Source organism: Homo sapiens, chromosome 16 (genome assembly GCF_000001405.40).
Source record: "Homo sapiens chromosome 16, GRCh38.p14 Primary Assembly".
Taxonomy (NCBI): Eukaryota; Metazoa; Chordata; class Mammalia; order Primates; family Hominidae; genus Homo; species Homo sapiens.
In genome coordinates, this window is record NC_000016.10 from 54724871 (window position 1) to 54747824 (window position 22954).

Genomic DNA, 22954 nt, shown 5'->3' on the forward strand with positions numbered 1-22954 from the left:
CACCATGGGTATTGCTACCACAGGGCCTTTGCACTTGCACTTTCCTCTCCTGGGAATGCTTTTCCTGGACTTAGCTCCCCTACTTCCTTATGCCTGGATTCCAAAAGTCACCTTCTCAATGAGATCTTCTTTGGTCCTTTATCTAAAATTTCAAAACCACCTCTCCAAAGCATCATGAACATTCTACTTCTCCACCTTATTTTCTTGGCCTGAGCACTTGTGGCCATCAAGTATGCTATCTATTTAATTTATTTTTTTCTTATCATTTGCCTTCTACTAAAATGAAGCTCCATGAGAGAAGGGATTTTTCTTTTATTTTGCTGAGTGCCGTATTTCCAGTGCTGACATACAGCTGATTCTCAAAAGACATGAGTTAAATGAATAAACAAGTAAAATCACAAAAATGGGTAATTCTCAAAGCACAGAAACAGTGTAGCACATACCTGTGGAAGAACTGTTAATGTAAATATGGAAACTGAGGAACATCAAAGAAAGCAAAGTTGCTAAGACAAGCTCTGCTAGTTGCCAACTCATTATTCCATAATCTCTTCTTCTTTTCCATAGAGCTCTGACTGGGGGAAAGCCAACATGGCAGCCAATCAAAAACTCCATTTCCCAGCCTCCCTTGCCTGTAGGAGTGTTCTCATAACTAAGTTCTAGAAATAAGAGGACATTGTTGACTGAGGTTTCTAAGAAAGTGCCTTAAAAAGTTTACTGACTCAGCTGATGGGGGCCTTTTTGCCCTCTCTCCTTCCTCTTGTTTCTTTCTTTCCTAAAACACAGATGTGATGGTGGGTGCAGCAGGAGTCACCTTGTGATTCTGAGGTAACCTTGAAGATAGACATGGCAGCCAGAGATGGTGAAAGGGAAGGATAGAGTCTGGGGATGGGGTATGGCCATTGCATCACCAATGGGCAACTTTCCTCAAGACTTCATTTTATGAGAGAAAAACGAACCCCTGGCTGGTCAAAGTTGTTATTTGGAGTTGCAGTACTAATAGTTGAATGCAGTTACTAACAGTTACTAACTCAAATTGTTGGACACCATCAAAGCACCTGCTTTGCTTTCTTTGAGCACCCAGTGGTCATCCTGGGATGCTCTCGACATGGGCCATGCTTCAGAAAACTATGTTGTTCCCTGATTGTGAAGCATTTTCCACTCAGCGCTCCACTATTATAATGTCTTTGTTTCATGGCCATCCTACTACAATGGAGCTACATCAGATTCACCCAAATTTCAAAAAACACAGTCATTACGCAAACCCGGGCTTGTGTTGAAAGGACAGAATCCCATAATCATCAATGATGACTCCAAAGTAGCTCTCATTTCCCAAGACATGGCCTAATCAAAGGGTGCTTGAAGCAAATCACACTAATAGTAACTTAACATCATTTGAATATTTGCAAATCAGCCGCTTTCCTCTAAATTCAGAAGTTTTGGGCTGGGCACGGTGGCTCACACCTGTAATCCCAGCACTTTGGGGAATGAAGGTGGGCACAGTGCTTGAGCACAGGAGTTTGAGACCAGCCTGGGCAACAGAATGAAACCCTGCCTCTACAAAAAAAAAAAATATATATATATATATATATATATACACACACATATATATATGTACATATATATACATATATATACATATATATATACATATACATATATGTGTGTGTGTATATATATATATATATATATACTCACACAAAAATTATCTGGGCGTGGTGGCACGTGCCTGTAGTCCCAGCTACTCAGGAGGCTGAAGCAGGAGGATTGCTTGAGCCCAGGAGATGGAGGCTGCAGTGAGCAGTGATCGTGCCAGTGCATTCCAGCTTGGGAGTTAAAAAAACAGTAAAAATAAAAAGCATTTGTAAAAATGTAAAAAATATTAAAAAAACAATGTAAAAAAATGTAAAAAACAAATTTGTAAAAAAAAAAAAGACATCTCGGACTACACGTTTCAGAGGAAACTAAACATTAGTCTAGCACCCACAATCACATGTATTTCTGGGAACTGCTCCCTGCCTCTAACCACCTCCATCCACATTGTTAGGTGGATAGCATGGTCTTAGTAAATGTAACAGATGATTGGTCCAAGCTGAAGCAGCTGACCCAATGTGGGCCAATCAGAACCCTGTCCTAGGATTTTAGAAATGGAACTGTGGTCTCTCGCAGGATGGTGGAAACTGAACATATATACATTTGGGAGCTTTTGTTGGTGATATCTTACCACTCAGACTGAGAAACAGAAATCCAGAACACAGAGACAAAAAGATATTGAAGCAGAAAGACATAAAACGTGTGTGTGTTGGTGAGAGGATAGAGAGAGGGGAAGACAGATGATAGATAGATAGATTAGATAGATAGATAGATAGATAGATAGATAGATGACAGATAGATAGATGACAGATAGATAGATTTGCATTTCCCTGATAATTAGTGATGTTGAGCATTTTTTCATATGTTTGTTGGTCTTTTGTATGTCTTCCTTTGAGAAATGTCTTTTCATATCCTTTACCCACTTTTTGATGGGATTATCTGTATTTTTCTTGCTGATTTGTTTGAATTCCTTGTAGGTTCTGGATGTTAGTCCTTTGTCAAATGCATTGTTTGTGGATATTTTCCCCCATTCTATGGGTTGTCATTTTACTCTGCTGATTACTTCTTTTGCTGTACAGATGCTTTATAGTTTAATTAGGTCTCATTTATTTTTGTTTTGTTTTTGTTGCATTTGCTTTTGGGTTCTTGATCATGAATTCTTTGCTTAAGCCAATATCTAGAAGAGTTCTCGATGTTATCTTCTAGAGTTTTTATGGTTTCAGGTCTTAGATTTAAGTCTTTGATCCATCTTGAGTTGATTTTTGTATAAGATGAGAAGTGAGGATCCAGTTTCATCCTTCTACATGTGGCTTGCCAATTATGCCAGCACCATTTATTGAATAGGGTATCCTTTCCCCACTTTATGTTTTTGTTTGCTTTGTCAAAGGTCAGTTGGCTGTAAGTATTTGGCTTTATTTCTGGGTCCTCCATTCTGTTCCATTAGTTTATGTGCCTATTTTTATACCAGTACCATGCTGTTTTGGTAATTATAGCCCTGTAAAATTTGAAGTCGGGTAATGTGATGCCTCCAGATTTTTTTTTTTTTTTTTTTTTTTTTTTGCTTAGTCTTGGTTTGGCTATGTGGGCTCTTTTTTGATTCCTTATGAATTTTAGGATTTTTTTCTAGTTCTGTGAAGAATGATGATGGTATTTTGATGGGAATTGCATTGAATTTGTAGATTGCTTTTGGCAATATAGTCATTTTCACAATATTAACTCTACCCATCTATGAGCATGGGATGTGTTTCCATTTGTTTGTGTCATCGATGATTTCTTTCAGTAGTGTTTTATAGTTTTCCTTGTAAAGATCTTTCACCTCCTTGGTTAAGTATATTACTAAGTATTTTATTTTATTTTTGCAGCTGTTATATAAAGGGGATTGAGTTCTTGATTTGATTCTCAGCTTGGGGGTTGTTGGTGTATAGCAGAGCTACTGATTTGTCTACATTGATTTTGTATCCTGAAACTTTACTGAATTTATTTATCAGATCTAGACGCTTTGTGGATGAGTCTTTAGGGTTCCTCTAAGTCTCTCTGTTTCACATAATCTAGTTGGAGTCCATTTCTGTAATTTGCAGCCAAAACTTAACTACCTTTAATTAATAAACCATTAAATAATCTTTGGGAATTTGAGGAATAGTCAGTGATTTGTGTGTAGTTTCTTAAAATGATACAGCCATATATACATGTATATATGTATATGTGTATATATGTGTGTGTGTGTGTATATATATATAAAAAACATATTGGTATTTTTCATTGAATCACATTTCACTGAGCACCTACTATGGTCCCTATGGTGGGGATGAGGAAGACATATTCGCTGATCTCAAGGAGTTCATATTTCTAGCAGCAAAAACGGATATGTGCTCACCTAGCAGGTTATGATGACATTTAACCCCCATCCACTCAGTGAGATAGAAATGATTTTCACATGTAAGTAAAATAAAACTAAAATCGATAGTGGTTGGCAATGCTCTCAGGATCATGCAACCATTAATCAGCAGACTACTGGAACTCCTACTCAGATTGGCCTTACACCAAGGCCATTATTCTAATCATCACACAGTATTGTAAACAACCTATAGCATACCTCTGATAATGGACCCAGTTTTGAAAAATCACTGAAGAACCTATGGGCAAAATGGTTCATCCTGTCTAATAGGAGAGTTTCTCCCCTCTGCTACATCTGACTCTGTCTCCAAGGCTGTAAATCCCACTCCTGACCCTACACTGTTCCAGAAAACATCCCCCGTAAGCATCCAGCCTTCCCCTCACATACCCAACGTGCCATAGCTATCCCTCCTGACTGCTTTGAACAGACTCAGGTCTTGTCCATCTTCACAACCTCTCCTGCCACACTACTTCCCATCTCACTCTCTTGCTTCACCTTCACAGTCAAACTCAAAAGATTTGTCTGGACTTAATGTCTTCCTTTCTTTACCTTCAACTGTCTCATTACACACTGCAAACAGATTTCTGTATCCATCACTCTACCAAAATAACTTTGGTCGACATCACCAATGACCTCTGTGTTATTACATAGTATGAAGCCTATCCAGTACTCTTCTCTCTTGACCACTCCAGGGCCAACCCCCTCCCACTTGAGATCGATCCTTCCTTCCTTCCTTCCTTCCTTCCTTCCTTCCTTCCTTCCTTCCTTCCTTCCCCCTCTCTCTCTCTCTTTCTTTCTTTCTTAAATAAAATCCATTGAGGTAAAGTTTACATAGCATAAAACTAACCACTTACAGTGACTCAAAGGCATTTAGTACATTCACAATCTCATGCAACTACTATCTCTATCTTGTTCGAAAACATTTCCATCACTCAGTCCAAAGCAAAATCCTCTACCCATTTAACAGTTTATCCCCATTTTCCATTCTTCCCAACTCCTGGCAACCAACCACCAATTCATACTGTGTCTCTATGGATCTATCTTTTCTGAATATTTAATATAAATGGAACCTTACAATAGGTAAACTTTATGTCAGGCTTCTTTCACTTAGCAGAAGGTTTAGATGTTCATTTATGTTGTGGTATGCATTTGTACTTCATTCCTTTTTGTGGCTAAATAATATTTCACTTATGGATATATTACAGTTTGTTTATCCATTTATCTTTTGATAGATATTTGGGCTCTTTCCTTTTTTTTTCTAGTAATTATGAATAGTGTTTCTATGAACATACATGTACATGTACTTGTTTAAATACCCATTTCCAGTTTTTTTGAGTTACCTAAAAGTAGATTGTGGGGTCATATAAGAATTCTCTGTTTAACTTTTTGAGAGACTACCTGTTCTTCACAGGGGCTGAAAAACTTCACATTCTTGCTGGCAATGTATAAGAGTTCCAGTTTCTCCACATTCTCATCAACACTTATTAATTATTGTTTAAAAAGTATCACCATTCTAGTGGGTGTGAAGTTGTACCTCATTGTGGTTTTGATTTGCATTTCCTTCATGACTAATTAGTCATTCCCTAATTTCCCTAATGACTGATGATGTTGAGCATCTTTACATGTGCTTATTGGCCATTTGAATATCTTCTCAAGAGATAGACCTATCATGTTCTTTGTCCATTTTTAACTACATCATTTGCCTTTTTGCTGCTATGAGTTCTTTATATATTCTGGATACTAGATCCTTATTAGATATAGGATATGCAAACATTTTCTCCCATTCTGCAGGCTGTCTTTTCCCTTTCTTGATTATGTTTTTTGATACACTAAAATGTTTAACTTTGTTGAAGTTCAATTATGTTGCTGCCTCTGCTTTTGATGTCATGTCTAAGAATTCAAAGCTAAACCCAAGCCCATAAAGTTTTACTCCTATGCTCTCTTCTAAGACTTTTAGGGTTTTAGTTCTTATATTTAGGTTGTTGATCACTTTTGAGTTAATTTGCCTATATCATGTGAAGTGAAGTTTAAACTTAATTCTTTTTTGGGCAAATATCAAATTGTCCCAGCATCGTTTGTTAAAGAGAGAAGTATTTCCCCATTGAATAGTCTTGGCATCCTTGTCAAAAATCAATCGGCCATAAATGTCATTGAGATACTTTCTTGCATTGGCTTTGGTGACTTACTACTCACTCTGGCCACTCTTTCTATTCCCTTTGTAGGCTCAACACCCTCTACCCAGCCATTAAGGCTCAGTCTTGCATATATTACCTTTATCATTTCATTCTTGCTCTCTACACAAAGTCTACCTTTAACTACCATCTATTTGCTGACGAGTCATAAGTGTAGATTTCTAGCTCAGTCTTCTCCCCAGAGCTTCAGATCTGAATATTCAGCTGCCTACCTGCAAGTGTCCACTTGGATATCACAAAGGCGTCTAAAAATTCCCATGTCTAAAGCCAAACTATGGATCTTTCCCCCAAACTTGGCTCTCTTCTGATGTTCTTATCTGAATGAGTTACACCATCAGTTCTGTTATCCAAGCCAATAACCTGGGATTCAGTCTTTTTTTCTAACCTCTCATGACTAATCTACCAGTAAGTGCTGTGAATTGTGTATCTTAGCTCTCTCTCAAATCCATCTACTTCTCTCTCTCCACCAGCACCTCTCTCCCCTAAGCTACCTTTATTTCTCCCATGACCTCTTGAAGTAACCTTCTCTTTTGTCTACTCTCATCCCTTCTTGCCTCTTTCAAACTCTTCTCCATAATTGTAACCAGAGCAACCATTTTGAAAAACAAATATATCAACTGTTCTCAAAAGAGTTCTTAAAACTCTTCCCATTCTTCCTAGACTAAAGATGGAAGTGATTAGCATGGACTAGCGGACCCTGATAGTTTGGCCTTAGTCTCCTCACTGACCTCCTCCCCTCCAGTCCTCCTTTTGCTCTCTACACTTTAGCCACATTGTCCTTCTTCCAGTAACGCAAATGCACGATGCTGCCTCCAGTCACGTGGCTTTTAAACATGCTGTTCTTTCTGCCTGAAACACCTTTTTCATCCCATTGCCACAGTCCCTTAGTTAATGCTTATTTCTCCTTCAGTCCACTCTCACTTCCCTAGGGAAGGTTTCTCTGATCTCTCCAGCAAAGTCAATTCTCATAGGCCTTGTCACAATTATACTTTTATTTCTGGAAGTCTCTCTACTAGAGGATAAACTCCATTAGGGACGAAACCATGCTTGCTTTTGTTCACCATCGTATCATCAGCCTGGCACATAGTAGTTACTCAGTAAATATTTGCTGATTGACATATTGAATGAAATATTTATTAAAGAATAAACGAACATGGGAACAAAAGAGGTAAGTTCCATAAAGTTTATTTCAAAGTGTACTCCTAGAGGCAATTGTGAGAGTCATCATGAAGCACCTTGTACAACTGATCCTTGAGCAAAGTGGGGGTCAGGGTGCTGACTCCTCACGCAGTCAAAAATCCATGTATAACTTTTGACTCTTCTAAAACTTGACTAACAGCCTACTACTGACCTGAGCCTTACCTATAACATAAATAGCCAGAAAGAACAATATTAAGAAAATCATAATGAAAAGAAAAAAATACTTATGCTCATTAAGTGAAAGTGGATCATCACAGGTCTTCATCCTCATCATCTTCATGCCAAGTAGGCTGAGGGAGAGAAAGAAGAGGAGGGGTTGATCTTGTCTTAGGACTAGTAGAGGCAGAAGAAAATCCATGTGGAGGTGGAACTGCACAGTTTAAACCTGTGTTGTTTGAGGGTCAACTGTATTTCTATCTACTAATATCAAATGTTTTAAAATGAATTTTCCTAAATATAATTTGATATATGTCCTTTTAAAAGTGAGTTACCGTTCAATTTACTATAACAATACAAATTTGAAATACATACAGATAGGCTGGGCTTGGTGGCTCATGCCAGCAATCCTAGCACTTTGGGATTGCCTGAGGCAGGCAGATTGTCTTAGCTCAGGAGTTCGAGACCAACCTGGCCAACATGGTGAAACCCCGTCTCTACTAAAAATACAAGAATTAGCCTGGCATGGCGGTGGGCACCTGTAATCCCAGCTACTCGGGAGGCTGAGACAGGATAATCACTTGAACCTGGGAGACAGAGGTTGCAGTGAGCCAAGATCACATCAGTGCACTCCAGAGCCTAGGTGACAGAGTGAGCCTCTGTCTGAAAAAAAAAAAAATAATGAAAGAAATACAGCTAAACTTAATAGGAAAATTTAATGACTATGTGAAAACAATCATAAACATTGAGGATCACAATTTTTAAAAATAAATGAGGTGACATACCATGTCCATGGATTAGAAAGTTAATATTGGAAAAATGTTACTACTTCCCAATTATAAGTTGAATTCAATTCTGATCAAATTAATTTATGAATTTGCATAATCAAAAAATTATTGGTTAAGTACTAAGTGTTTATTGGTAAGCATTAAATGACAGGGAAGGTTTAAAATTCATCTGAAAATCAAATAGGCAAGACTATTGAAGATATTGTGAAAAAGAAGAATAAAGAATAATGAGATGACAGATACAAAAACATAAAACTGAAATTATTAAACCACTGTGTTACTGACACAAGAACAGACAGATCGGTGGAACAGAATATAGATTATAGAATTTCAAATCCTTGGGAAAATGAATGCAATAAGCAGCTTTAGGACAATCAGTTGGCCATTTGGAAAAATTGATTTTTATTTCTATCTTATAACATATAAAAATAATTCTAAATAAACACAGATGACATGAAAAAAATGAAAAGATAAATACTTGAGTAGAATATTAAATAGATATCAGTTTTCATGGTGGAAAGGAAGTTTCCAAGCCTACATGCAAATGAAAATACCATGAAGGACTTGAGTGGTAAATGTGTGTGCATAACAATAAAAGAAACATTATGATATTTTTAAAATAATTAAAATCAAAAGATAGCTGTCAAAGTAGGTGAATGCAAAATATCTTATATACAAAAGGTTAATAACTTTAAACTATAAACAGTGTTTACAAATCAGTGAGCAAAAATGAAACCCTTCTAAACAAACAGTCAAAAAATCGAAACGGCCAATTCACAAGAGAATACCAACAACCAATTAGCTAATGATAAATGTTTAATATCACTAATAATTTAAAAAGACAAATTGAAACAATTAATCACTATTTTCCTCTTATCAAATTCAAAGGGTCAGCAAGAAAGAAAAAAATATAATAGACACTTTGAAATACTGCTGGTAGAAAATTAAATGGATGTATTCTTCCTATAGTGTAATTTTGCAAAATATTTCAATCAATAGTCTTGAATATATTCTCTACTTCGAACTAGTCACTTTATTTCTAGGAATTTTCTTCAGCCTAATAAAATGGTCTGAGATGTACACAAATGTGTATATGTAAGGATCTTTATTACAATGTTTCCTGTAATAATAGCCACAAATTGAAAACAACAAGCAGGTTTTGACATGTCTAAATGCATTAGGTAAGCATATGTGATGGAATGCTAGCAGCCCTTGAATATGCTTTTAGTTAATAAAATGGAGAAATGCACACAATATAATATAGTGAAAGGAAGAGAGGGACAGATAAATATACAGGATTACAGTGTGGAAAGAAATACAAAATGTCATCACTAATTTTTCCTGAAAGGTTAGCTTATAGATGCCTTTTATTTATTTGATATTTTTTCTAGCATGCTCTTAATTATCTCCCAAAAATAGAGTATTTTTGTTTATTTTTTCTTTAAAATTTTCAACATAAATGCATTATCATTGTAAAGTAATTCAGTAATGGGTTAATTTATGGAGCCCCTCTTCTATTCACCTCCACAGAAGTAATTACAGTTCAAGGTTAGTATATATCCTTCTAGACATTTTTCTATGTATTTACATATATGAATGTACATAACTATTTTTATCATCAGAAAAAGAAAGCTATTTAATATAAAACAAAAAGAATTAAGGGAAGAAAAGGAAAGTTGGCCAGATATTTTAGCAAATTATCCAATAACTGAAACATACGCAGTGAAGTTGTTGCCTTTATTTCAAAATCATTTACCTCACCTTTTAATGACTCGAAAAAAGTCTTATGGGAAAAATTCTAAATTTGGGGTGGTGGGCAAGATAAATTAATGACGAGCTGAAATAAATGAAAAGTAAGCTCTCTTCCGGCCTTTCCTTTATATTAGAAAATGTTAACAACACACCAATTGATGATATTTCATTAAAATTTTTAAGTATGTATGGTTTGGAGGGTAAAAGCAATGTTTGCAATACAAATAAACACAAGGGAAAAAAATACCCTAGCAAAATAAGAGAGCAGACTAACCCACGTTGAGTATCTCTGCCGCCAAGACAAGCTTCTGTTTGTTCCCTAAGTGCTGATGATAGGCAGGAAGGTGAGGGCCAGGATATTAAGCGGCTCTAATCCCATTCTACTTTATGACTAGCTTGAGAAATGACCTCTAGCGAGATCTGGCCCTTGTTCTATCCAGCAACTAGATTTTTCTTACAGAAAATAAATTAAAAAGGTGTGACCTTGCTGAAGGCTTGCCGAGAAAATGAGGTACATCTTGTCACAAGCAGAGGAGCCTATTTGTTCAATTTGAAAGGCTGCCGCTTTGCTCCGATTAGAAGTTAAGATAAAGGCCGGGGATGAAAAGAGGAGAAACATTTCCAAGCGAGGAAATTAAAGAGCTACATTGGAGACCCTTTCAGCACTACAGTGGGCTTTTTGTGTGGGGTTTATCGGGCCCCATCAGCCACACCTTGTCCCTGTGCTTGAAGCTCCCTCTCCTCCGAGCACACAAAAGACTGCCATGTAGGGAGAGGATGAGAAACCCCCTCTCTGATAGCCATCAGCAGCACCCACCCCCCTTCCCTGTAGGTCGCAGCAGCAGAAAGTGACCCACCCAAATTTGATGCACTGTGCGAAAAAGACTCAAAGTCATTTCATCGCATCCACCAAAGGGGCCTGGTCTAGAAGCTTCCTACCTTCCCTGGCAATAAATGTATCACGTCTTGGAGAATTTCTCCAAAATTTGCTAGAATAAATGGGCATTGGACTATCTTTGTGTCCATAAAAGTTTCAAGCCAACAGAAATTCCTGCCCAAAGCCCCTGAAGCTAAGAAACCTTCCAACTCTTGTCATCGTTTTATAGACATCTTTTACGCACCAGCATGTCTTTCAACTTTTGAAGTAATAGCTTGTATGTGAAAGAAAGAGCTAAGAAAAAAATGCTGGGCTTTTCCACATGCTCTAAATTTACATCCAGCGTTCTATGCCCTGGTTCCCTCTATATACTAAGGTTCCAGAGAATGGCTGGGAAGGCCAGACTCCTTAACTAGAACTCGATGTCCTTGACTGTATGAAACCAACTCATCTTTCCGGTCTTATTGCTGTGCATTCCCTTCCACCTTCCAATCCCGAACATATTTTTCACTTTTCTACCTCCATGCTTTTACTCGAGCTCATAATGCTGCTAGAATTCCCTTCCTCAGCATATCTTTCTTTCTAACCCCTAGCTGTCTACACTGCCCTTTGTCTTGATTTGTTTTAAAGTTATCTTCTCAGTATCCATAGTCTACCTGTTTGGAAAGAATCCCACATCTTATAAACATTGGTGGAAGAAAGGCATTCAACCCGCTGTGAAAGGTAAAAGAGCAAGATAGTCCCTCTTCCAGTTATTGGCAATGGGCCGCCATCTGGATCTGGAGTTTTGCAGGAGCGAATCAAAGATGCACAACAGCTGAGAACCACGTTGAGCGTCCAGCAGGAGGTGTGAGATCCAGCAGCACCACCTGGGAGAGTCTGGCAGGTGGGCTGCCCCAACCACGTTGTTCCCTGGGATGAACTTGGCTGTGTTTCTCACTGTTATTTAATAGATTTCCTTTGGTCCAGCCCCAGCTTTCAACTCTCCGTGAGTCAATATATTGTTTCTAATACATTTCTTTTCTTCTCAAGTTAGCTACCGCCCATTTCTGTTGCTTGCAACCATGGATACCAGCTGATACACCCTTTTTTAAGGCACAGTTTTCCTATTGCCATATCCATATGGTTTTCTTAGGAGTATCCATTTATAATGCATCTCTCATTACTCTCTGCTCACCCAAACTTTGTCCTTTCATTTGACAACTATTTATTGGGCATCCATCAATCACGTACTAGGCCCTGTATTTGGTGCTAGGGATCAGAAGAGAGCCAAAAAACGTACATGATACTTTTCTGGGATATATGAAACATTTAAAACCCCAATATTAAGTTACTATAATGACAATTGAAGGAGAGTTAGGTACAATGGGAGTAAAATGAAAAGGAGACAGAGATAGCTGGCTGAAGCAAGCGGAGGGAGAAATGTTCAGGGAAGGGTGCCATGGGGAAGAATGAGTTTCTCTGTGAGCACTGAGCAGGAATAAGCCACAAGGAGTGGAGGGGAATAGAGGGCATGGTTGGCTGAAGCAGGCAGCATATTGTCCAGACTCTGGGACTAGGATTTGAAAAAGGCCTGAGGTCAGAAGAAGAATGGGAAGACCAAGGACTTGGGAGCAGCTGAGTAAAAGGGAGCTCAGTGAGAGATGACACTGGAGAGGCAGGCAGGGCCTTGTTAGGGCTTGGGACAGCCCTGCCCACTGCCCAGATGGTGATGGCCACCCTATCCCTGGGAGGTGCCAGCTTACGCATTTTGTTACCCTGTCACCATAACTACCTTTGAGCTCATCAGAAAATTCATGCCAATTTTTCTTTCTGATACTGTGGCCCCCATAGCTAAACTACTATTGCCCCGTGAGAGCGGGGACCATATATTCCCAGTCTCTATCATCCCCCTAGAGCCTGCAGGAGCCCATTGAATGTTTTTGGAGTGGAGTTGCCTGCCTTGCATTGACATTCCCTAGGAACAAAGACAGCAGTGTTCATGCTTCACCCATTTCTGCCTCCCGCATGAGCCCAGCATGTCTTCTCTTTCTTACTTAGCCAGCCCTCCAAGGTTTGTTTTATTGGAGTTTGCAATAATGTCCTTGAAGCAGAGCAAGATTCTCAAGTGCCTTCTGATCTATCAAGAATGCCTTAGCTTACTCCACTCAGGTTTCAGTGTTGAGTGTATAAACACTGAATTACTTGAGAATTGGTGATAGTGCAGTAGGTTACATTTATGGAAATATGTGTAGTGATAATGGGGCCAGTAATAAGGCTGTGTATTGTAGAACAGACTGTATATCGGGTCCTGGCTAGAACATTTTTCTGCACAAATGAGTTCATGTCTCTGTACCCTGTTTACCTATTTGAAATACACCCGGAAGAATGCAGTACCTCATCCTATCCAAAGATTGAGAGGAGACTGGTGTCTCATCTGAGTTTACATGGCAATGTCAAGATGATCTGGTTTAGTTTCTACTTCTTTACATAAAACTACTAAAAGAATTGGAGGGGGAGTTGACCCCTAGGCAACAATACAAAAGGTCAGCAAGTCTTGTGGCCAATAGTGTTGAGCACAGAAATATCTAATGTTCCATTTGAAGGTGGCTGCTCTTTTGTGATGCAAACACCCTCTGTCTCTTTTCTCATACTTTAGCAAAGTCTTCTATGTGAGTTTATGTGAGTGGGTATTAATGTGGAAATCATGAAGTCTAAGTTCTAGGCCAGGCATAGTGGCTCATGCCTGTCATCCCAGTGCTTTGGGAGGCCAAGTTGGGAGGATCACTGAAGCCCAGGAGTTCGAGACTAGCCTGGGCAACATAGTGAGATATTTTCTCTACTAAAAATAAAAAATAAATAAAAATGAAAAAGAAAAACTCTAAAGTCTATAGCTGAAGTATTTTGGGATACGTTCAGCACAGAAGTATGATGAGAGAATCCACGGAGTAGAACTAAGTAGAAACCAGACAAATGGAATGAAAAAACAAGCAAACAAAACAAAACAAACCCATTAGCCACTCCCTACCTTTCAGAATCCCCTGAAAGATTAGGAGGGCCATGCAGGATCTTTCCATGCTTGGGACTGGGATCATGCCAACTTATTTTGGTTCTTAAGAGACAGAAAACTTCAGCCGACATCTGGGTCAAAGTCAAATGCCACAGTTAGAAGAGTTGGTCCTTCCGGTCTTCTCTAACATGAACTTTCTGATCCAGTTTCTTCACAAACATTTAAACAATAATTGGCTAACACTTTAGTTTTGAGAACATCATTTTAAGCAAACAATCAAGCCTCTCAGCACATTTTCTTCCTAAATACCCTAAATAAATGTACTTCATAGTATGGCTTATACAGCAAAATAATTTGTCTAGTGAATGAAGCCCCAGTGTTGAAATATCAGCAAGGTGATCTCTGGGCTTGGCCTTACTTTGTTTGTATTATCAGCATTCTGAGAGTGTTGGACGTCTGGTTGCCTGCAAGAACAAGGAGGAATGCTACCAATTACCAGGAAACCCAATTGTCAGAAATGCCTTGCTCTTCAGAACTGCTGGTGACAAGGGGGAGAATTACAGCACCCACAGAATATTACTAAACATTGTTCAGAACAAATTATAGTATCCAACATTAACTGCCTCTGGCTGGGACCACAGACAGTGGTTGCATTGGGAATATTTCCCCGACAGATTTTTAGAGTCCTTCAAGTTCACCTTCTATTAAATAGAGATCCAAAGAGTATTTGTAAGACACTTGGTATACCACGCCATTTAATAACAGTGTTTATAGTGTCACTGTGTCCCAATTTGTTTACCCTATCTGTATCTGTTTATATATTTTATGTGTGACTAAAGAACCAGTTCTATTACCTTTTGCTTCTCCCTCTTGATGATAACTAATATCATTTTTAATTGCTTATTAGGTGTCCAACAATATTCAGATCAGTCTGTAAACGTTATGCCTTTTACGCTTTATCTATAATGTGTAATGATCTTATAAGCTTAGTACTGTTATTCCCCTAGTCTTACACATGAAGACAATGAAGTTAGTGAGATGAAGTGTCTCCCCAAGGTCCAGATCCCCTAGCTAGGAAGAGAGACAGATAGGATCAGATCCAGAGCTTGAGTTTTCACCATGGTCCATACTTTTTTAACTATAGTCTGACACATTATTGTGCTGCTGGCGTGAGTGAAACACAGTGTGGCTAAACCAGGTCCATGTCCAATGCCTCTGGACTTCTATTCAAACATGTTTCCACCTGTCATGGTCAACCAAACCAAGAAGCAGACCAGGATGGGCTTTAATATCCCTGCCTCACCCTAGTTCACTCACCCCCTGCTCCTCCCCTTTCCTCCCTCATGCTTTGGTAAGATCAATGTTAAAGAGATACTGGTGAGTTAAAACTATAGGCATTGAGGCTGTGCATACTGGATCATGTCTATAATCCCAGCATTTGGGGAGGCCGAGGTGGGAAGATTGCAAGAAGCCAGGAATCCAAGACCAGCCTGGGCAACATAGCAAGATCCCATCTCTACCAAAGCAATGCAAAACTTAGCTGAGGATGGTGGCATGTGTCTATAATCCCAGTTACTCAGGAGGCTGAGGCAGGAGGATCACTTGAGCCCAGGAGCTCAAGGTTACAGTGAGCCTGGACAGCAATGAGAGATCCTGTCTCTAAAAATTACAAACCTATAGGTATTGAATAAAAGTTTGTTTCAGTATGTATGTATAGCATGTACATTACAAAATTGAATAACACACAATGTTATAACTTTGGTTTACCTAATGAATATTTTGTTATTTGAGGGAATAAAGAGTCATTGATTACAGACCCAGGGGAGTCATTTCAAAGGGGCAATTGTGAATGATTCTAAAAGTGGGCACCAAGGCCTGATTGGGGCACAAATACTGGACAAAACAAACCCTGGACTGTTACCTCGATCAATACAAACGCCAGGGATGGTGCTGGAAAAATCCATGAGTATGGGCCAATAAAGGGCCCAAGAATACCAGAGACCAGAGAATAAGAAAGAACATTGGGAAAAATGTGACCCAGGTTGAGGAGGCCCACTCTAATAAAAAGAGTGTGGGAGCAGCTTCCCTGCTTCCATCCTTACAACAACTGTGTGTCAACTGCAGTCAGGTGGCAGCCCAGGCCTTCAGGTTCAGCTGATCTTGAACTCCAATCCCATGGCCTGTGGCAAATGTGCCAAGAAGTCTATGAGCACCTCATTCCTTTCATTTCTCTTCCTCCACATGCCTGTGGCCGCACAAGTTGCTTCCCCACATCAGCAGGAACTGGAGACTCCACCAGTGCCTTCACCAAGCATCATGGGAGTCCAGGAGTTTTACCAAAAATCTGGGGATGGGGTGTGCAGGACAATTACATTATCACCCGCAGTTTCTCATCAGATCCATGGTTTGACTTCTCCCTGGCTCCCCCCATGATAAATACCTTCTCTGCCCCACTCAAAACCTTCCACTTCTTCCTAGGGCCCTCCGGAGTCTCTGTTTCTAACCCAAGCACACTTCTAGTATTTTCACTCCAAGGAAAGTCTTCTGGCCCAAGATGAGACCTGGTGAATAACGATTTCTCCATTTCATGACCTGGGCACAATCTGAGAATTACTGGGCTATACGGAGCAACGCAGGATGAGATGGGGTGCTGTTATGAGGCCAAATGAGTCTCTGAATCAATTCTTCTGTTTCCTTAGATTTCTACCTCCCCAAAGTGAGATTTTGCTTTTTTTTTTTTTTTTTTTTGGAGATAGGGTCTTGCTCCGTTGCCCAGTGCAGTGATAGGATCATGGGTCACTGCAGACTCAACCTCCTAGGTTCAAGCAATCCTCCCATCTCAGCCTCCCAAGTAGCTGGGACTACAGGTACATGCCACCATGCCCAGCTAATATATTTTTTTTAATTGTGGAGATAGGGTCTCCCTATGTTGCCCAGGCTGGTCTCAAACTCCTGGGCTCAAGGGATCCTCCTGCCTTGGCCTCCCAAATTGCTGTGATTATAGGCATGAGTCACTGCACATGGTCAGATTTTGCTTTTTAACTTGAATTGGGCCTCTTACTGTTTAGGTTTTTGAAAAACACCACCCAAAATTAGAGGTTCAGAAAGTACCCCAACAAGCAATCCCTTGTCCCCCACTTCAAACACCTTACCTGTGACCACTTCTTCCTTCAGAAGCCTATCTCTAAGGGGACCATAGGGCTGAGATCTGCCCAGAGCTGACACATTTGATGCATGCTGGTCCTTAAATAGAACATATCAGGTACACAAGAGATCTCCCTTAGCCCACTGAAGTGTTGACCAAATTCATTTCTCTTGGACAATGGAGTTAGTGCCTTACCCCTTCATCAGCTGCTCTCACATGAAGAACTTCTCTGAGTAAGGAAGGTGTCCTTGCTCTTATTGAAAGATTGACTGAAAAGCAGCTAAGTTGTTTTCTATCCTCAGTAGTCCTTGTTGAAATTGAGTTGTAAATAACCAAAAGCTTGGAGAGGGAAAGGCGATGAAGTCAAAGAAGGGAAAAGAGAGGAGAGAAAGGCAGGAAGCTACCCTTTTTTGAGAACCTGCTACGCACCAGACACTAAAAAAACTAATTCTTAAAATTGATAGAAGCCCCTAGAAAATGGTTGGTGGTCTTTTTCCACTTGAGTTTTAATTAAGTGATTTTTCAGTTCCATACTTTGGTTTGCTATAAAAGGGCCTTTGCAACATTTTGTAATCATCCTCTTCTTTCTTAAGCTTTCCTTTCAAAACCAATTTTGTATATTCTAATTGCAAACTCTAGTTCAAGTTCCTGAAACACTTTCTTATAATTATCACCAAACAAATGCAGTGATTTCACAAAGCCCAAACATGTGTCACATTAATTCTCACAACGAAAATACTTTCATTTTTCTTGGACTCCAAGCAAAATGGACCATAAGCAAAGTGTTTGATAAAATGACAGGTGGAATTCCATCCAATTAAGACATAAATATTTTTCCAGAGGCTAAACTCACTGCAAAATAATAATCTTCACTCAACACATCTTTACATGTCTTTGGCAAAACACCTGTCTAAAACTGTTAACACTAAATATTTTGGGAGCTCTGTACTTCAAAGACATCCCTGAAAACGTCAAGCATTGTTAAAATGTTGAAGTAATTTTGGTTAAATGCTTCTGTGACAACTGTCGGACTTGATTTGTTTTAGCTGAATACATTCTGAATATTGCTTGGAATCTGTGAGTTGGTCATTTGCCAAAAGATGAGAAATGGGCTGAAGTCAAAAGAATTATATGCATCAAAGAAATGAAAAAAATGATGGGAGTCTTTGTTTTTTTAAAAAATGCAGTTTATCCTCTAAGTTGGAAGCTTCAAAAGAACATTCTTACCAGTTGATAGCCTTTGTGGTAAAATGATAAAGCATACACTAGAAGTTATTCTGATTCTTGGCCAAATTCATACATATAGAATCACACCTATAGTTCCTTATGCAGAAAAAAGAACATTTTAAAGTAGCTTGATGAAAATAGGGATTAAGTAATATAAAACTGAGTGTTTTCCTAGGAACGTCTAGTTAGTTGGTTACCAAGTACTTATGGTTCATGGAATCACAGAAGAAATCATAGAAGTAAAAACATTAGAGAGCATCTAGTCCAACAATATCCTTTCTCCCTGCACTGCCTCCATTTTCAGATGGGTAAATTGAGGCCCAGAGACCCAAAACCAGCAATAGTTGGTTAACAGATGTGCCTACTGCAAAAAGCTTAAGTTTGGGCTGAAAGGAGGGTGTGAGGGAGACACTTACAGAACACATCAACAGATGGTAAAAATGCAGCATAAATGTGAAAGAGGTACAGTGAGATCAAAAATAAGAGGAACTAATGTTAATTGGGTAATCATGATGGCCCAGGCATTATGCTGGATTATATGCGTTATCTCACTTAATTCCTGCAGTTACTTATGCACAAGGTTGCCATTATTATTCCCATATTATAAACAAAATCTCTAAGCAACTTGTCCAGGTTAGGTAGCTAGCAATTGATAAAGTCAAGACTTGGAATTGGTTCTGTCTGACTTCAAAATCATTGTTCTTAATCATTAACTCCCCTTCCAACACTTACGACTCCAACTTGTTTCTTTTCCTTAAATCCAGGTAGGCACCACAATAGCTGGAGAAACGTAGGGTGATTATAATGATTTGGAGTGTCCCGATCAGCTGCGGGTCACACCTAAGTTATTAAGTCTGGGGAAAATGTGTTATCCAAGCTAAGGGTATAATGACCATGATCTGAAATTTTCCATGAAATTCTAAATCAAATATTCTGTCACATTATCCCTATAAGAACCTTCATGCTTGATAGAGCACGTGCTCAGAACTATTTTACAGAATGTTTCAGTCCTTGACTCAATCTAAGACTCTTGGAGCCAAGAATTATGCATATCCCCGGGCTGCCAGACCATTCACCCTATATATTTTTATTGACTACCACTGACTGTAAGTCCTGCCCCCCTTAGACTTCAGCGAGACCAAAGCTGAACATGGAAGAGGTCAGTTATTTTCATTTTTTTGTCCAATAACAGGGCTTTTTCTTTTTCTTTTCTTTCTTTTTTTTTTTTTTTTTTTTTTGACTGAGCTTTGCTCTTGTTGCCCAGGCTGGAATACAATGGCGCCATCTCGGCTCACTGCAACCTCTGCCTCCCGAGTTCAAGCAATTCTCCTGTCTCAGCCTCCTGAGTAGCTGGGATTACAGGCGCCCACCACCACGCCCAGCTAATTTTTGTATTTTTAGTAGAAATGGGGTTTCACCATGTTGGCCAGGCTGGTCCTGAACTCCTGACCTCGAGTAATCCACCCGCCTTGGCCTCCCAAAGTGTTGGGATTACAGACGTGAGCCCCTGCGCCTGGCCATAACAGGGCTCTTTCTGTGGGAAGTGTCAGAAACTCAAGTCAACCTGGCAGAAGCAGAAAAGGGGAAATACCATCTCAGTGAACTGAAAACTGGAGGCAGGTCTGTTTTCAGCTATGTCTGAATCCAAGGACTAAAATAGGATCATCAACAGGACTTTATCCCACCCTCTTTCATTTCTCAGCTCTGTTTGTCTCTTTTGTCGGTGGCACTCTTGAGTGGAACCTCTCCACGTGGAAGCCAGGTGACCCTGCCTCCTCCCCAGCAGTTCCAGGCTCATGTCACTCTTGTTACCAGCATTTCCAGCACAAAGAGATTTTCTCTTTCTCAATTTTTCCAACAAAAGCCCTAGGTTGTATCTCTTAGGATTAGCTTTGTCATGTGCCTACCAATGAACCAGTCCTGGGGGTCTGAGGTTGAGGGAGCATGCTGGTTGGCCAGGCCTGGTCATATATCCACCCCTAAGGTGTGAGGCTGTGGGTCCCTGTCTGATCACGTGATTAAGAGTAGGAAAAGGCTGGTTCCCCAGAGGGAAATCTGAGACCTATTACCGGAAGTGGGAGGAACCAACATCCCTCAAACAGGCGAAATCAACGGATGTTCGCAGCACCTCCTATCTCTGGGACACTGCCGTCTAGGACAGGAAGGAGGGACTAGAGTGTATCTAGAATGGGTACAAAGAAGCTGAAAAGGGAAGGGGTTTGGGAAAGTAGAGGCAGCGTGGTTCTCAAACTTCAGCTGCAAAAGAATCATCTGGGGAGCTTTGACAGAAATGCAGGTTCCCGGTCTCTATTCCCAGACATTTTAATTCAGCAGATCTGGGGTATGAGAATTTGCATTTTCAACGAGTTCATCTAAATGATTGTGATGCCAGTGGAGGCCTGAACACTCTATTTCAAGAGACATTGGCTTAGTTCTTAGGAAGATAGGCCAGTTACTGAGTATTAAATGAGTTTCACTAAATCCCAAATAATAGCCAAAGGGAGTCTAAAACACACACAATGAATTTCAACATTGACTTTTCTGAATTTTTCTTGCTCAGTAACTGCACCTCTTACTACCTCTTGGGTAGTGCAGGTGCTTAAAAAACACTTCAGGATGAAGAAGATCTTCATCAAGGCACCTTGCGGAGGACTAGTTTGTTGACCAAATAACAGGAAGATATATGGGACTTACAAAGAGCTTTGAATGCCAGTTCAGAAACTCTGTGTAGCTTGGTAGCAAATGCACAGCCTCATAATGGGAATATCAGATTCCAATGAAAGAAAAAGGAATCTAACACCTTAAAAGAAAGAGAGAGAGGCTGGGCTTGTTGGCTCATGTCTGTAATCCCAGCACTTTGGGAGGCTGAGGCAGGTGAATTGCTTGAGCCCAGGAGTTCGAGACCAGCCGGGGCAACATAATGAGAGCTCATCTCTACAAAAAATAAAAAAGCTAGCCAGGCATGGTGGCACCTGCCTGTGGTCCCAGCTAATTGAGAGGATGAGGTGGGAGGGTTGCTTAAGCCCAGGAGCTCTAGGCTGCAGTGAGCCAAGATGGCACCACTGCACTCCAGCCTGGGTGACAGAGTAAGACTCTGTCTCAAAAAAAAAGAAAAAAAGAAAGAAATTAAAAGGAAGGAAAACATCTCCAATCTCCACATTTAGGAAAACAGTTGTATTTAAAAAGTAGAAAAGTAGAAACATGGTATCGTAATTTGAATCTTCTCTCTTCTCCGCCCCTCCCCTTCTCCTCTTTTTTAAATGCACCTTTGTTATATATCCAAGCAGGGAACTATTATGGAAGCCAAAACTCGTTTGAAAGTGCTCCCCACAAGGGTGACAGGGCAGGAATCCCACCCAGGAAAGGTCAACCTAACCAGGTCCCAGGAGAGCCTGCTCCTTGAAACCTGAACCATCCCAAGCGCTATCACTTCAAGGCCCAGAGACCTAAGAGGATTAAGGTAAGTGTTCCTCCTAAAAGCCTGAAGAAACAAAGCTTAGTTTTTAGCATCACAAAGGAACACACAATTATATAGGTTCTGAAGGACGGGAGATAGGTTAAGACTTTTGGATTGGGGGTGGAGGTGAGGAGGACGCTGGACAGAAAAGGCAGATCATCCCTAAGCCAGGGAGAGAACATTCCTGCAAGATTAGCCACTGTTTACAAAGAAGTAGACTGTAACTGAGATTTATGCAAAAGGAACAAAGAAGACATGTACGGGGAATCTTTTAGGCTTAATTTACTAAGTGTGCATTTGTGATTGAACAAAACTGTGGACTTTTCCCCCCTCACTATATAAAAAGGGTTGTGAGGATTCTTAGGATAGTGAATACTAAAGTCAATTCAGTTGTTCTTTGATATCCGTGGGGAATTGGTTCCAGGACCTTCTTTGGAATACCAAAATCCATGGATGCCCGAGTCCCCGATATAAAATGGAGTAGCATTTGCATATAAACTATGTGCATCCTTCTGTCTACTTTTATCATCTCTAGATTACTTGTAATACTTACTACAAAGTAAATGCTGTGTAAATGGCCATTATACTGTATTGCTTAAGGAACAATAACAGAAAGAAATGTCTATATGTGCAGTACAGAAACAACTTTTTTCCCTAATATTTTTGAGCTTCAGTTGGTTGAATCCATGGATGTAGAACCCATGGATACGGAGGATTGACTGGACCACAAGGGAAACTTGGTCATTTTCCAGATGACAAAACAAACTTTTAAAAATAACTTCAGGCTGGGTGCAGTGGCTCACGCCTGTAATCCCAGCACTTTGGGAGGCCGAAGCGGGCAGATCACCTGAGGTTGGGAGATCAAGACCAGCCTAACCAACATGGAAAAACCCTGTCTCTACTAAAAAAAAGAAAAATACAAAATTAGCTGGGCGTGGTGGTGCCTGCCTGTAATCCCAGCTACTTGGGAGGCTGAGGCAGGAGAAACACTTGAACCCAGGAGGCAGAGGTTGTGGTGAGCTGAGATCACACCATTGCATTCCTGCATGGGCAGCAAGAGCGAAACTCTACCTCAAAAAATAAATAAATAAATAACTTCAAAGATACTTTACTATGTGTTCTATGGTGGGGTAAATTTACTTAACCCCCGCCCCCCCCCCCCCCCGCCACAAGCCTTGGTTTATAA

At 39.9% G+C, this 22954-nt stretch overlaps 1 annotated feature.

Moving 5' to 3' along the window:
* Positions 21551 to 22075: an enhancer, noted in NCBI's record as "NANOG hESC enhancer chr16:54780333-54780857 (GRCh37/hg19 assembly coordinates)". NCBI's record gives its function as "activates a minimal SCP1, AML or CMV promoter by ChIP-STARR-seq in primed H9 embryonic stem cells {active_cell/tissue: H9 hESC(primed)}" and the evidence as "EXISTENCE:reporter gene assay evidence [ECO:0000049][PMID:30033119]".